The 17088-nt window shown below is 41.0% G+C and overlaps 1 protein-coding gene across 5 annotated transcripts in view; it reads left to right on the plus strand.

Annotated features, from left to right (window-relative positions):
• SEC23B (SEC23 homolog B, COPII component) overlaps positions 1-12916 on the plus strand; it is a 53868-nt gene extending 40952 nt beyond the window's left edge. For all 5 annotated transcript variants that reach the window (NM_032986.5, NM_001172745.3, NM_032985.6 and 2 more), the window contains exons 16-20: positions 110-271; positions 2590-2676; positions 5736-5891; positions 6609-6674; positions 12152-12916. In NM_032986.5, coding sequence (NP_116781.1) covers positions 110-271; positions 2590-2676; positions 5736-5891; positions 6609-6674; positions 12152-12241 — 561 coding nt within the window. In that variant the 3' untranslated portion in view covers positions 12242-12916. The remainder of the gene's footprint in view (positions 1-109; positions 272-2589; positions 2677-5735; positions 5892-6608; positions 6675-12151) is intronic.

The raw sequence follows: 17088 nt of genomic DNA on the forward strand, positions 1-17088 counted from the left end.
GCCCTTTTCTGGGTTCTCCTATTTCAGAGCCCTGAGGTAGATCTACTCTGTGGGTGTCTAAGAAGGTTACAATTATATGCATTTCTCTTTCCGTTCTTTGTGAATGCAGTTTATGTTCCATCTGAGAAGATCTCCATTTCTTCAAGTGTTTAACAACAGTCCTGATGAGTCGTCATATTACAGACATCATTTTGCCCGGCAGGACCTGACCCAGTCCCTCATCATGATCCAGCCCATTCTCTACTCTTACTCCTTTCATGGGCCACCAGAGGTGAGGCTCTACCCAAATGCTTTCCTGAGGATTGGAATCACCTAACATATATTCTTTTTTAAGCAAATTTACTTAGCAGAACTGTAAAAAAGAAGTAAAATTTGGAGTTTTTATAGTAATTTAACATTATTTCTATTAAAAAATACCTTTAGGAAAATGTCAAAGGACATATAAAGCTATTATTTGTGAAAGGCAGGAATAAATGTAAAAAACTCTAGGAAATAACTTGGATGCTTTCTTTTTCCTTGTGCTTGTATACTTACATCCAACAATTCCATGTCTTGTATCTGAAGGAAAGACTCCTAGATACAGAGTAGACTTTGTGCCAAAAAAAAAAATAGTAAAGGAACTACTATAATAGAGGATCAAATAACAATCCGAATGTTTAATATAGGAAAATAAATAAGTAACCTGAGAAATGCAGTTGACCCTCAGTATTCATGGAAGATTGGTTCCAGGACCTCCCTCAGATACCAGAATTCTTAGATACTCAAGTTACTAATATAAAATTACATAATATTTGCATGTAACCTTGGCACATCCTCCTATATACTTTAAATCATCTCTAGATTAGTTATAATACCTAATATAATGTAAGTACCATGTAAATAATTGTCATACTGTATGGTTTAGGGAATAATGACAAGAAAACAAGTCTGTACATGTACAGTACAGATGCATATTTTTTTCAAATATTTTCAGTCCAAGATTGGTTGAATTTATAGATGTGGAACCCACCGATACGGAGGGCCAACAGTATTCACAAAAAGTATGTAACATAATAAAATAGATAAGTCCTTATGTAAAAATGTTACATGAAAAAAAGTCAAAATAGAAACGTTTCTAAATATTCCCTGCAAAAATAAAGAACTATATGGAAAAAAACAAAATATCAATATTTGTTGTACTTGGGTACACATTTAAAAATTTTCTTTATCGAGTACCACTTACTTTTATTATTGAAATAATTACTAAAATAGCAGGGGGATCACATGACATCAGGAGTTTGAGACCAGCCTGGCCAATGTGGCGAAACCCCATCTCTACTAAACATACAAAAATTAGCTTGGAATGGCGCCAATAATCCCAGCTACTTGGGAGGCTGAGGCTGGAGAATCACTTGAACCCCGGAGGCGGAGGCTGCAGTGAGTTGAGATCGCGCCACTGCATTCCAGCCTGGGCAACAGAGCAAGACTCCCTCTCAAAAAATAAAAATAAAAAAGAAATAATTACATATATAAAAATTATATGTGTATATGTAAATATAATAAATTATATATGTATATATAAGAACTATGTATATAAATATATATGTATATGATTATATATGTATATATAAATATAAATTATATACTTATATAATATAAAATATTACTTACAAATAAATAATAAACGTATTTTTTTTTGAGATGGGGTGTCTGTCACCCAGGTTGGAGTACAGTTGTGCGATCTTGGCTCACTGCAACCTCCGCCTTCCAGGTTCAGGTGATCCTCCCACTTCAGCCTCCTGAATAGCTGGGACCACAGGCACGTGCCACTACAGCCCGGCTAATTTTTTGTGTTTTTGGTAGAGATGGGGTTTTGCCATGTTGCCCAGGCTGGCTTTGAACTCCTGGGTTCAAGTGATCTGCCTGCCTTGGCCTCCCAAAGTTCTAGGTTTACAGGCATGAGCCACTACGCCCAGCCATAATTTATATTTTGTAGTAAACTTTAAAAACTTGTATTAAATGCTGCTTTTCATATAGGTATCCGTATTCTGTCTCATCTACAGAGAATGTCTGTAGAGATTGCTAAAATACATACAAAACTGAGAATATTCAGAATTATTTTTCGTTCCAAGATCAAAAGATATCATTAAGCCTGGACAACATAGTGTGAGACCCTGTCTTTACAAAAAATAAAAAATTAGTTGGGCGTGGTGGCATGCACCTGTAGCCTCAGCTACTCAGGAGGCTGAGGTGGGAGGGTCACTTGAGCCCAGGAGGTCGAAGCTGCAGTGAGCCAGGGTCACATCACTTTACTCCAGGCTGGGTAACAGAGCAACACCCTGACTCTTAAAAAAAAAAAAGGTATCATTAATCTCCGTTCTCAATTGATGAGGAATTATTTGGAGCCTATTTTTCCTACAAAGTTGAGAATGAGTCAGAAGCAGAAAGTGGAAGTATGTCAGGAAGAAAAGGGGTGACTTACTGTGCTGGGCACCATTTGTAAATAGCCTTTGCTGTGGATACCAGGCATGGGATCAGGGTCGGGTGGAAGTGGTTGCTGTGTGGGGAGCAGGGAAGACCAATGCCATCTTTCTCTCTCTTTTTCTTCAGCCAGTACTCTTGGATAGCAGCAGCATTCTAGCTGACAGAATTTTGCTGATGGATACTTTCTTTCAAATTGTCATTTATCTTGGTGAGGTAAGATGATATTATTAATTAATTAATTTCTTTTTGTTTTTAAATTGGAGAAAAGGCATACACATTTAATGTGCACACAAGGAGAATTATTGTCCTTAACTATGGTTTTTGTTTTCTTCTCTTATTTATTAAGTTAGGTTTTTAATGACATTTGTAACCACAGTTTGGGCTTAGAAAGCACCATGGCTTTTATTCTAGTAAATCCCTGGAGTATTTGTATATTTATTAATTTTAATCATATTTGCTGTTAAGTATGGGCCAGGTGCAGTGGCTTATACCTGTAATCCCAGCACTTTGGGATGCTGAGGTGGGCAGATCACCTGAGGTCAGGAGTTCAAAACCAGCCTGACCAACATGGCAAAACCCCATCTCTACTAAAAATACAAAAGTTAGCCAGGCGTGGTGGCACACACCTGTAGTCCCATCTACTTGGGAGGCTGAGATGGGAGAATCACTTAAACCCGGGAGGTTGAGGTTGTAGTGAGCTGAGATCACACCACTGCATTCCAGCCTGGTCAACAGAGTGAAACTCCATCTCAAAAAATAAATAATAATAATAATAATATATGCTGTAAAAAAATCTCAGGTGGTTATTTTAAATCACTGTAAATTATTACCTTCGAAGTTAGGCAAAACTAGTTTTTTCTCCTCAGTAAATATTTTATACATACTGCTGTTCTTTCAGAGTTATATACATACTGCTGTTCTTTCAGAGTTAGTGTTTAGAGCTAAGGTTGTACTTTGATGAAATAACATGGCCCAGGGAACTTTACGCTGTGTCTGTGGATCCCTAGGATGGCTGTGGATAGCTTTCAGTCCATTTCTTTCTCAGTGGGGTTCATGCCCTGAGAAAGGGAATGGCTCCTCTGAATTATTTGCATCTTTATGGCAAAAAATCCTTTAATGAAGATGATGGTGATATTTATATTCAGTGATGCTTTTTCTTCTATTGTATGATCTCTACCTTCTTAAATTGGTTATTGATTTGGTTTCCTAATGGCCAACCATTAGAAATGATTTCTGATGTCGTGAAAAGATATAAATTGTGTTTCAGGATTCCTTCAGTAACTTAGGAAGTGTTAGTTTTCTAATACTCCTAAGTATTTTATAACTTTAAACTTTTTTCAGCATGTTAACACCCAGTCTGCTAGCCACTTGCACGCAAGTGCTAGGCTGTCAGTAATAGTCCTAGACTGAGAGCCGGATGACCAGCTGCTCTTCCCACTGGAACCTTTGGTATCAGTACAGTTGGCCCTCTGTATCCACGGGTTCCACCTCTGCAGATTCAATCAACTGCAGGTTAAAAATAATTTTGAAATAATAATAAAAAATAATACAAATAAAATATACAGCACAGGCCGGGTGTGGTAGTTCATGCCTGTAATCCCAGCACGTTGGGAGGCCGAGGTGGGCGGATCATCTGAGGTCAGGAGTTCAAGACCAGTCTGGCCAACATAGCGAAACCCTGTCTCTACTAAAAATACAAAAATTAGCTGGGCATGGTGGCAGACACCTGTAATCCCAGCTGCTCGGGAGGCTGAGGCAGGAGAATCGCTTGAACTCAGGAAGTGGAGGTTTCAGTGAGCTAAGATCGAGCCAGTGCACTCCAGCCTGGACGACAGAGTGAGACTCTGTCTCAAAAAACAAAACCAAAAAAACAGCACAAGAACGATTTATATAGTTTCTACATTGTATTAGATATTATAAGTAATCTAAAGATGATTTAAAGTGTATGGGAAGATGTACATCGGTTATATGAAATACTATGCCATTTTGTATGAGGGACTTGAGTATCTATGGAATTTGGTATTGGGAGGAGTGGTCTTGGAACCAATCTCACAGATACCGAGGGCCGACTGTACTAAGGATGAAGCTTTCTTTGCCTTAAGCTCATCTCCTTATCGACATTTCTTTTGCAACCCCTGATCCTGTTCATTCACTTGTTTATTGAGCACCTTCTTGTGCAAGTGAGGGGTTCTAAGGATAAAGACAGTGACATTGCTCTCACCTTCCCAAAGTCCTGAGCGTGCTGAACGCGAGTGTTCTTATGAACTTCTGGACCCTGGTGAGCTCGTGGGCATTTCCCATAGGCCAACAGTCAATCACAGCATTTAGACCTGGAAAACGGTAACTGCTACTTTGAGAAGGAGTGAGCAGGCTACAGAAGGAGGCATCTGATGAGAATCCTCTGCCTGGAGCCATATTAATGGCTCTGTTAAGACACATTGCACACTTGCTGTAGCCTCTTTCTCCATTTTTCCTCTCCATTGTCTTCTTGTTCTCCTAAATAACATGCGAAAGCACTTCACTTTATTTATAAAGGTATATGAATCAGTTAATGAATGTTTCTTGATTTCCTGTGTATACAAGATATTTTCTAGACCAGTTGTGGATGAGTATAAAAGAAGGAAGGGTGATAAAATGTGTAGCGTAGTCAGGGAGACAGATCGTCTGCTTTCCACAGTTTAGCATATGGCTTCTCCTCACTGCCTCATCAACACTCATACTTTGATTCTTACAGCTTTTGTCTCCTTTGCCAAGGGTACCCCAATTCAGGGCCCAGGGGGAGCAGGGGATGGGGGTGAGACAATTGCACGCAAGTCTGTATGACTACTGCTCACCAGAGGAGTGTAATATGTGTGCCGTTAGGAAAGGAGATGGGGGAGTGGAGTCTGTGTGGGCAGCCAACAAATCCCTTTCCTTACCAGATGTGCGGAGATGAGAGGCTAGACTGAGTGATAACAGTGGAAGTGGAAAAGGAGGGAGTCCACCGCTCCTTGGGATGAGTAATCCATGGGCTTTGTTAACTAGTTGATATAGAAGAGAGGAGGCATGAGTGACGCCTGACATTCCTGGGGGAATGCGCAGGCGGGGGCATTTTCCTCCTGCTTCTCCTCCTGCCGGTAGCTCTGCTTTGCTCTCCCTCTGAAGCTTGTCATTTTTGATATTAGACTTCTTCACTAGAAACAAGCTCTGGGTGGCGATGGTAGAATGTCAGTGTCAGTGAAGGCTGTTATTACAGTTTCCACAATAGTTTTGGTTGGTTTGTTTCTGTGTAGACCATAGCCCAGTGGCGTAAAGCTGGCTACCAGGACATGCCCGAGTATGAAAACTTCAAGCACCTTCTGCAGGCACCACTGGATGATGCTCAAGAAATTCTGCAAGCACGCTTCCCGATGCCACGTTACATCAACACGGAGCATGGAGGCAGTCAGGTGAGTGAGCTGAGTTCTAACTCCAGTGGTTTGTTCGTTTTATGATAGATTGTTATTGCTATACATCTAAACAGGATGGTTAATATTTTATGTGATGACATAAATTGACACACAGGTAATCTTCCAAATATGACTTCTTTTTAAATGAGTGGTCAGGCCAAGCGCGGTGGCTCACACCTGTAATCCCAGCACTTTGGGAGGCCGAGGCGGGCGGATCATGAGGTCAGGAGATCGAGACCATCCTGGCTAACATGGTGAAACCCCGTCTCTACTAAAAATACAAAAAATTAGCTGGGCGTGGTGGCGGGCACCTGTAGTCCCAGCTATTCGGGAGGCTGAGGCAGAAGAATGGCGTGAACCCGGGAGGCAGAGCTTGCAGTGAGCTGAGATCGTGCCACTGCACTCCAGCTGGGGCTACAGAGTGAGACTCCGTCTCAAAAAAAAAAAAAAAATGAGTGGTCAAAATGTGCTTATGTAAAGGGATTGCCAAGATAAAATACATATTTTATGTTTTAGGATCCTTAAATGGAGAGCCAGTGGGCTTAAGCTAAAGAAATAGATTACTGTGCAGTAAAACAATTCTAATTAGATTACTGTGCAGTAAAACAATTCTAATTTAACCAAACAAATGTTGTAAAAACTTATCTTTTTTCTGTTACATTAATATTAATGTCACTTTTTAATCTTTAAATCTTTTTGTTGTTGTTGTTGTTAAAGGCTCGATTCCTTTTGTCCAAAGTGAACCCATCTCAGACACACAATAACCTGTATGCTTGGGGACAGGTAAGAAATCTTCAGGTATTTGGGGAGGATGCTAAGCTAGTTTTTTTTTAAACTTGTTTTAAAATTCTACAAATTGGATCTCTTTTGGCCTGGAGACAGAATAACTGCGTAAGTTGGGTATTTTGCTGGGGAGTGGCGGGGAGGGAAACAAGTTGAATAACATTACTGGGCCGGAGGTTGAGGGGGCTCCCTGGGTGTGTCCCCTTCCACAATATACAGCAGAACATACCAGGTTCAGGCCAGGGGACAGAGCACTGTACTGTGGCCTCCATGGTGGTGTCCTCCGTCACACAGCCTCATGGCCCCTAGTCCTCTCCCCACCAAGAATACAGGGCAACTTGTCACCATCGGTTTTGCCGCCTCCTCACTTTCCAGCCTAATTCCTTCCCTTTTCTTCCCCCAACCCCGCCTGATTACTACTTTATCTAACTGCTCCCAGCATTTATGTCTCTCTCAGATGAGTCTTTCCTTTCATTCTGTTTTCTTAAAACATTTTTAAATTAAATTTTTTTGAGATATTGTAAATTTACATATAGTTGTAAGAAATAATACAGAGAGATCACCTGTATCTTTTACCCATTTTCCCTTAGTGTTAACATCTTGCAAAAACTATAATACAGTATCACAACCGGGATATTGAGATTTTTAAGGTCAAGATGTGCAGCATTTCCATCACCACACTTATGCACTTTATTTCTATTATTGTTACATTGTAATATATAATGAAATAATTGTACAACTCACCATAATGTAGAATCAGTGGGAGCCCTGAGCTTGTTTTCCTGCAACTAGATGGTCCCAGCTGGGGGTGACGGGAGACGGTGACAGATCATCAGGCATTAGATTCTCATGAGGAGCATGCAACCTAGATCCCTCACATGCGTTGTTCACAATAGGGTTTGCACTCCTATTAGAATCTAATACTGCTACTGATCTGATGGGAGGTGGAGCTCAGGTGGTAATGCACGTGATGGGGGAGCAGCTGTAAATACAAATGAAGCTTCACTTACTTACCTGCCACTCACCTGGTGTGTGGCCTGGTTCCTAACAGGCCAAGGACTGGTACTATCCGTGGCCTGCAGTTGGGGACCCCTGATTTAAAGTGTATGGGAGGGTATGCATAGGTTATATGCAAATGCTACACCATTTTGTATTAGGGACTTGAGCATTTGTGGATTTGGGGATCCACAGGAGGTCCTAAAACCATTCCCCCACAGATACTGAGGGATGACTGTATATAGAAATACAATTGACTTTGGTATGTTTATCTTGTATTCTGTGACCTTCCTGAGTCGCTTACTACTCTTAGGAGTTTTTTTGTAAACTTCTCAGAAATTTCTACTTAGACAATCATGTCATCTGCAAGCCGGGGACAGTTTTATTTCTTCCTTTTCAATCTGAATAACTTTTACTTTATTTTCTCAAAGAATCAGCTCTTCATTTCATTGACTTTATTATCTTTTTATTTTCAATTTCATTGATTGCTGCTCTAGTCATTGTTATTTCCTCTCTCCTGTTTGCAGTAGGTTTTTAAAAACTCTTGGCTGGGTGCGGTGGCTCACGCCTGTAATCCCAGCACTTTGGGAGGCCAAGGTAGGCAGAACACGAGGTCAGGAGTTCGAGACCAGCCTAGCCAACACGGTGAAACCCCCGTCTCTACCAAAAATACAAAAATTAGCTGGTGTGGTGGCATGCGCCTGTAGTCCCAGCTACTTGGGTGGCTGAGGCAGGAGAATTGCCTGAACCCAGGAGGCGGAGGTTGCAGTAAGCTGAGATCACGCCACTGCACTCCAGCCTGGGCAACAGAGCAAGACGCTATCTTGAAAAACAAAAAGAAGTGAATTTATTATAGACAGCTTATAGTTGGGTCATGGTTTTTAATGCACTCTGCTGAGCTCTCTTACTTGGTATATTTAGACCATTTATATATAATGTAATTAATGATATGTTAGGGCTTAAGTGTGCCATTTTATTTTTTGTTTTCTGCTTTTCTTTTTTCATCTTACGTACTTTTTTCCTGCCTTCCCATGAGTTATTTGAACATGTTTTAGGATTCCCTTCTGACTTGTTTGTAATGTTTTTGAGTGTATCTCCTTATTTAGCTTTTTAAGTGGTTGCTCCTAAGTGCCCTAGGTTTTTTTATTTTAATTGAGATGAGGTCTTGCTATGTTGCCTAGGCTGGTCCTAAACTCCTGAGGTCAAGCGATCCTCCCACCTCAGCCTCCCAAAGTGCTGGGATTATAGGCATGAGCCACCACACCTGGCCAGGCCCTAGGTATTACATCATATATGCATAACTTATCACAGTCTACTGGTGTTCAAGCGAAGTCTAGAGACCTTACCTCCCTTTTCAACACTTTACTCTCCTCCATCGGTAATATAATTATGTTAAATATTTCCTCTGCATACATTTAGTATCACATCAGACAGTGTTATAATTTTTGTTTCAAGCATCAAACATAATTGATAAGTCTTAAAAGAAAAACCTATTATATTTCTCTACATGGTTGCTTTTATTGTTTTCTTTCTTTTTAGAGATCTTTTAGCCATTCTTTTTTTCTTTTTTCTTTTCTTTTTTTTTTTTTTTTGTTTTTTTGAGATGGAGTTTTGCACTTGTTGCCCAGGCTGGAGTGCAATGGTGTGATCTCAGCTCACCGCAACCTCCGCCTCCAGGTTCAAGCAATTCTCCTGCCTCAGCCTCCCGAGTAGCTGGGATTACAGGCATGCACCACCACGCCTGACTAATTTTGTATTTTTAGTAGAGACAGGGTTTCTCCATGTTGGTCAGGCTGGTCTCGAACTCCTGACCTCAGGTGATCCGCCCGCCTCAGCCTCTGAAAGTGCTGGGATTACAGGCATGAGCCACCGCGCCTGGCCTACTTTTAACCATTCTTTTAGCATAGGTCTTCTGGTGATAGATTTTTAGTTTTCTTTTATTTGAGAATGTCTTGACGTCCCTTTCATTTCTGAAGAATATTTTCTCTGCATATAGGATTCTGACTAACAGCCCTTTTCTTTAAGCAGTTGAAAAATATTGTGCTGCTTCCTCTGGCCTTTATGGTTTCTTATGAAAAGTTCACTGTCAGTCTCATTGTTTTCCCCTGTAGAGAAGGTGTCATTTTCCTCTGGCTGCTTCCAGTAGTCTTTTTCTGTTGTTAGTTTTCAGGGTGGATGGGCAGGGGCAGAGAAGAAAGTGTAATTATGACATGTCTTGGCATGGATTTCTGTGGGTTTATCCTGTTTTGATTTACTCAGCTTTTTGCTTCTGTAGGTTTCTATCTCTTGCCAAATAGGAAAGTTTTCAGTCCTTATTTCTTTGAATGCCTTTTCACCTGCTCTCTTTTCTTTCTTTCTTGACATCCAGTGACATGAATGTTAGATCTTTTGCAGTACCCCAGGTACTACATTTCCATGTATTTTCTTTCTTTTGTTCATTTGGGTAACTTCTATTGTTTTGTCTTCCAATGTATTGATTCTTTTTTCTGTTCTCTTTCTGCATTGAACCTATGCACTGCGCTTTTTGTTTGTCACTGTATTTTTCAGTTACAAAATTTCCTTTTGGTTCTCCGTGACTTCCACTTCTTTCCTGGGACCTTGTTGTTTCTTTGCTGAGGCTTCCTATTTTTTCATTTGTTTCAAGTGTGTTTGTAATTGCTCATGAAGCATTTTTATCATGGCTGTTTTAAAATCTTTGTCAGGTGATTCTAACATTGTTGTCAACTTAGTGTTAACACCTGTCACTTGTCTTTTTTAATTCAGGTGGAGGTCTTGGTAATCACTTTGTGTAAGTGATTTTTTTATTGAAACTTGGACACTTGAGTGTTTGTATGAGACCCTGGATCTTATTTAAACCTGCTACTTTTCGCTGATTTTTTCTTACACTACTCTGACAGGGAAGGTGGTTGGTGGGGGGGGTGTCGGGGGCACTGGTGGGCTCCATTACTGCCAGGTGGAGAAGTCCAGGTTTTCCACTGGCCTCTGTTGACACCTCGGGGTGTCTAGTGATTTCTTGTTACTGCTTAGTGGGAATGAGAGTTCCAGCTCCCCCATAGCCTCCAGTGAGACCGCTGTGGAGATGGCCTTGTTACACTTGGGTGATGGTGAAAGTCCTGACCCTCCTCCAGGCCTCTGAGGCCACCCCAGTAGGCAGGCGGAGGGACATATATTTTGCCAGGTTGCGGTGGAAGTCCAGGCTCCCCAAATGGCCTCTACTGACACCACAGGGGTAGGAAAATTTTTTTACTTGGCCATTGGGGATGAACTTCCTGGTTCCATACTTAGCCTTCTCTGGCACCATCTTGGTGGGAGTATTAGGGTGCCTTGTTACTGCCTTGTGAGGGTAGAAATTGTAGCTGCCCACCCAGCCTTTGCTGGTTCAGGTGGGTCAGGGCCACAGTTTTTCCTCTCATTTTTGCCCGGAGTACAGTGGTTATTATCTAAGATTGTTCTGTCTTGCTAGGCTGCTTTAGTCCTTTGGCTAGAGAAAGTGGGTGTTTTTTGTTGTTTTGTTTTGTTTGAGTCTGTGCTCAATGACAATTTGCCAGCTTCCTCAGCTCCAAATTCAGAGTATATGAGGCATAAGAAAGCCCAAGGAACTCACTGCTGTGCATCCTTGGGTCCCAAGGTCTTTAGTTTTTCTGTCTTCTCTCCACCTTTAAAAGTCTTCTTATGTTTGGTTTACATAAGATGCCCGAAGTTTTCAGTTGTACTTAGTGGGAGGAATAGAGAAAAGTATATATTCTATTCCTTCCTCGAAATCCTCTGAAAACATTTTGATCATGCTTACACTTTTCTAATTATAACAGTATGGTTTCATTTTAGAAAATTTGAATATGTTTTAAAAAATAAGAAAATTTAAATTACCTAGAATCATTATTTAAAGAGTTAACTATTTCCAGCTTTTTTCTACGTAAAGTGTATTATTGTGTGTGTGTGTATATATATATATATTTTTAATTTCTTTACAAAATTGGAATCTTACTACAAATTGAGGTTTCTATTCAATTTTTCCCATAACATTAATAAAATTATAAGCTTTTTCTGATATTTGAAATATCCATCTGTTCAGTGGAGATACCAGTTCACTCGTTTGTGGGTACACCATTATCCAGCTTCTGTGGTAAGCAGAGCACTTAAGAGGAAAGGCAGGCATATGGGCCTCCGTGAGCTCACAGTGGTGGGGAGCTAGACCCTGGGTACTTCATCAGGACTATGGAGAAGAGGGTAAAGTAAAACGCCTGATGCTCAAAACTAGCAGGCGGTGGTGGCCTGATCTCGGCATACCAGGAAAGGATTTTGTGAGGAAATTGTGCTTTAGTCAAAAGAAGTTGTTCGTGAGGCAGAGGATGGGGTGATGGGAGTACTCGTAGCAGAGGGGACAACACCTGTGAATGTTCTGAGGGAAGGTGCTTGACAGCTCATGAATTCTAATCAGCTTCTAAGATATCTGCCAACTAATCTTTATCATTACATTTCAGGAAACTGGAGCACCCATCCTAACTGATGATGTTAGCCTGCAGGTGTTCATGGACCATTTGAAGAAGCTGGCTGTCTCCAGTGCCTGTTAAGCTGAGGATACAACCAGGAAATGCAACGGTGTCAGATTGTGTTCAAAATGTCTAGAAAGGCTTGATAACATTCCTGTTACTTTTCTAGCAGATTTTAACAAATAATCAAGGACATTTTATATGTAACTCTTTAGATTATAATTTATTTGTATTCCTGTCTTTGTCCTTTTTCTTGCACTATAAAATTATAAGGTCATAAATGTTTTGGTACTTGTAGATGTTTATGTGCTTTTTGTATCCTAACTTTTAGAATCTAAATAAAATCAGAGGTAATGTATTTTGGCAGCTTGTTTAGGTGAGAATCTTAATGATCATAAAGGAAATAAATCTAGATGCAGAAAGTACTGGCTAAAATATTGCTAATACAAATGTGATTTCCTGAGGTCTCTGTGTGAGTGTGTATGTGTTTTAAGTGACTTCCTTAAGAGGTGTTTCCTGAACCTAATTCTCATAATTAAAGTAATGTATATGCAGGATCAAAATGAAACAAATATACCTTATCCTAAAGAGCTCATAACAAATAAGTTACCTCCACTCTATAAACTCAGACCTACTTTTTGAAGATAACTGCTTTTAACCTCTCCTTACAAGATTTTTGTTGTTGATGTATTTAATTTTAGCCCATGTCTCAATTCTCATTTTCAAAGAATCAATATATTAATATACCTTTGGTCATTTTTGTATTTTTATTTTTATATTATCAAGATTGGTAAAATGTATATTCTGGGTCAGATACAGTGGCTCACACCTGTAATCCCAGTGCTAAATTTAGGAGGCCAATGCAGGAGACTCACTTGAGGCCAGGAGTTTAAGACCAGCCTGGGCAACATAGCGAGACTGTCTCTACAAAAAATTTTAAAAGTTACTGGGCCATGGTGGTGTGTGACTGTAGTCCTAGCTACTTGGGAGGCTAAGGCAGGAGGATCACTTGAGCCCAGGAGTTCAAGGTTGCAGTGGGCTCTCATCATGCCACTGCACTCCAGCCTGGGTGGGAGAGCAAGACCCTGTTTCAGGAAAAAAAAGAGATTATATTCTGGCCTATTATCATATTTTTTGTCACTAAGTTGATTGTCAAAGCTGAAAGCTCCTAAGAAGCATTTACACAGCCGTGATGATGTAAATATTGTTCCAGTCCAAGCCAGGTAGGATGACATTTTTCTCTAGGGTGCTAGTGTCCCAGTCAGTCCCTATGTCACTTGTAGGAAAACATTCCAAAGGACAGAATCAGAGTTACTTTCTTACATTCCATCATGCCGCATGTTGGTTTGATCCCTATTTGGATTATGATTTCTTAGATTTGCTGTGGTTTTCCCCAGAATTTCTAAATTTTGTTTGCTTTCTGAGAGAAGAAATATTTTGCTTTCTATTTACTAAGAAATTCTAGCCTATTCTACTGAATGAAGTCCATTTTTTTCTTCTTTGGAGGCCACTGATGTCCCCTTTTAAGGGGGGCCAATAACTTTGACCTACTGCACAACTGTCATCCAGGAATTTCTTCTGTTTGGAATCTCGGGTTAGTTCCACTCTTCCCTTTATTCCATAAGGCATTTTGCAATCTCAAATGACTTTTACTAAAAGGAGTACTTGGGGAGAACTCACTGCATCTTAGCATATCTGCAAATCTATTCTGTCTTCACACTTTATAGCTTTGCCAGGTAATATAGTTTGGATATTTGTCCCCTCCAAGTCCGTCATTGAAATGTAATCCCCAGGATTGGAGGTGGGGCCTGGTAGGAGGAGTTTGGGTCATACCGCTGGATCCTTCATGAATGGCTTGGTGCCATCCTCACAGAAATGAGTGAGTTCTTGTCCTGGGTTCAAATGAGGTATGATTGTTTAAAAGTGTGTTGGCTGGGCACAGTGGCTCATGCCTATAATCCCAGCACTTAGGGAGGCTGAGGCGGGCAGATCACCTGAGGTCAGGAGTTTGAGACCAGCCTGGCCAACATGGTGAAACCCCATCTCTACTAAAAATACAAAAATTAGCCGGGTGTGGTGGCTTGCGCCTGTAATCCCAGCTACTCAGGAGGCCGAGGCATGAGAATGGCTTGAACCCAGGAGGCAGAGGTTGCAGTGAGCCGAGATCGCACCACTGCACTCCCTGGGGGACAGAGCGAGACTGTCTCAAAAAAAATTTTTTTAAAGTGTTACCTCCCCCACCTCTTCCTCTCGTTCTTGCCATGTGGTACATCGGGCTACCTCTTCACCTTCTGCCCTGATTGTAAGCTTCCTGAGGCCTTCACCAGAAGCAGATGCTGGCACCATGCGTCCTGTACAGCCTACAGAACCGTAAGCCATAAGCATAAACCGTAAACCTCTTTTTAAAATAAATTACCCAGTCTCGGGTGTTCCATTACAGAGATCCAAAGACAGACTAACCCACTGGGTCTAAAAAGTATAGGCCCAAGATAATCTCAGAACTTTGGAGTCATTCTTTCATTCGTTCAACAAATAACTATCCGGTACTTGTTGTCTATGGAGTAGTCTTCTAGGCATTGGGAATACTGCCAATAAAACAAAAATTCCTGTTTTCATAGAGCTTATGTGTTAGTTAGGGAAGACCAACAATAACAATGTTAGAAGTAAATGATATGGCCGGGCGTGGTGGCTCATGCCTGTAATCCCAGCACTTTGGGAGGCCGAAGTGGGCGGATCACCTGAGGTCAGGAGTTTGAGACCAGCCTGGCCAACATGGCGAAACCCTTTCTCTATTAAAAATACAAAAATTAGCCAGGCATGGTGGTGCACACCTGTAATCCCAGCTACTTGGGAGGCTGAGGCAGGGACAAATTGTTTGAACCCAGGAGATGGAGGTTGCAGTGAGATTGTGCCACTGCACTCCAGCCTGGGCAACAGAACGAGACTCCGTCTCAAAAAAATAAAAAACAAAAAAGAAATGAAGTAAATGATACATTAGAAGGTAATGAGTGCTATGTAGGAAAATGAAGCTGGAAGCTCCTATTAATTGGATGTTGGAACAGCTGGATTGATTGCAATACTCTGTTTTGAATTTGTATTCGAATACAAGTTATTGTATTTCTTTTTGTCTCTGCCCTACATTCTAGCAGAATTCTAGCAGAGTTTCCTATCTTAAAATGTTGAACATTGGCCAGGTGCGGTGGCTCACACCTGTAATCCTAGCACTTTGGGAGGCTGAGGTGGGCAGATCACTTGAGGTCAGGAGTTCAAAACCAGCCTGGCCAACATGGTGAAACCCCATCTCTACTAAAAATATTAAAAAATTAGCCAGGAGTGGTGGTGGGCACCTGTAATCCCAGCTACTTGGGAAGCTGAGGCAGGAGAATCACTTGAACCTCGGAGGTGGAGGTTGCAGTGAGCTGAGGTCACGCCACTATACTCCAGCCTGGGTGACAGAGGGAGACTTCATCTCAAAAAAAAAAAAAAAAAAAAAAGTTGAACATTTACATTTTTCTGTGCGTTTTCCAAGAATATTTTTAGTTTTGGATATAATTTTTAACACATCATATAGAAGAATACATAAAGTTGTCTGTACAGATTAAGGCCAAAACATCCTCTTTGGCTTTTCTGTTTCAAATTAACAGAAAAAAGACTGTGTGATAGACCCAGCTAACTCTGCGGTTCTCTCTAGTGTCAGTGAGTTAAGGAGCTGAGGGAACTGCATGGTATGACATGGCCATGCAGGTCCCACCTTAGGGTACCAGTGACGTTTTTCCACAGAATGTAGGGGGTGGCAGGGTGATAGTGCTGTGTGGAAAACAGCTATCATGAGAAGGGGCCACTGAGCCCAGTATGCCCAGTGAGGACTCTGAACTCCATCTTTTTATTAATTGTTAATTTTTGTGGGTATTGAACTCCATCTTGAAGGTAGGGCAAGCCTCTGACTTATCTTAGGCAGAGGGTGAAATGATAATTTAAGGTTTGAAAGACACTCCAGAGGGGGAAGGATGAGAGGAGACTGTAATCCAAGTGAGAAATGAGGCCTAAACAGAGACAGGGTATTTAGACAGAGGTGACAGAGGATGTCAGGTGAGATGATTCCAAGTTCCTGGCTTGGGCAATTTCTCAATCACTCTCTGAATCAGGGAAGAGAAAGGGAAGGTTTGTTTCCTGTTGGGAGTGGCATTGATAAATTCAATTCGGAACATTTTTTTAGTTTCAGGAGCTTGTGGAATATGCAGCCGAGGATGCATAGCAGGTTGGCAGTAACATGAATTTGCTTTCAGAGAATCTGGAGTAGATTTGAGAGTTATTAACATATAACATAGGTATCATGAGTAAGGCTGATGAGAAGGATGAGAAGAGACGCAAGCTTGAAACAATACCAATTTTTCTGTTTTGTCTATAACTATTGAGCTATAGTTCACATATAATAAACTGCACCCATTTAAAGCATACAATTGGATAAATCTTGACAGAAACCACCACAATAATCAACATACAGAACATTACCATCACCTCTCAAAGTCTCCTCAGACCCTTTTAGCCCTTCCCTCTCTCCATGCCCTTACTGCAGACAACTACTCATCAGCTTTCTCCCACTGGAGTTTGCTTCTAGAATTTCGTGACTGGTTTCTTTGGTGTCTAGCTTGCTTTTTCACTTAGCATAATCCATTTTGAGATTCATCGTATGGTTGTATTTATCAGTAGTTCTTTTTTTTTTTTTTTTTTTTTTTTTTTGAGAAGGAGTCTCACTCTGTCACCCAGGCTGGAGTGCAGTGGTGTAATCTCGGCTCACCACAACCTCCGCCTCCTGGATTCAAGTAATTCTCCTGTCTCAGCCTCTGGAATAGCTGGGATTACAGGCGCCCGCCACCATGCCCGGCTAATTTTTGTATTTTTAGTGGAGACGAGGTTTCACCATGTTG

Source organism: Homo sapiens, chromosome 20 (genome assembly GCF_000001405.40).
Source record: "Homo sapiens chromosome 20, GRCh38.p14 Primary Assembly".
NCBI lineage: Eukaryota > Metazoa > Chordata > Mammalia > Primates > Hominidae > Homo > Homo sapiens.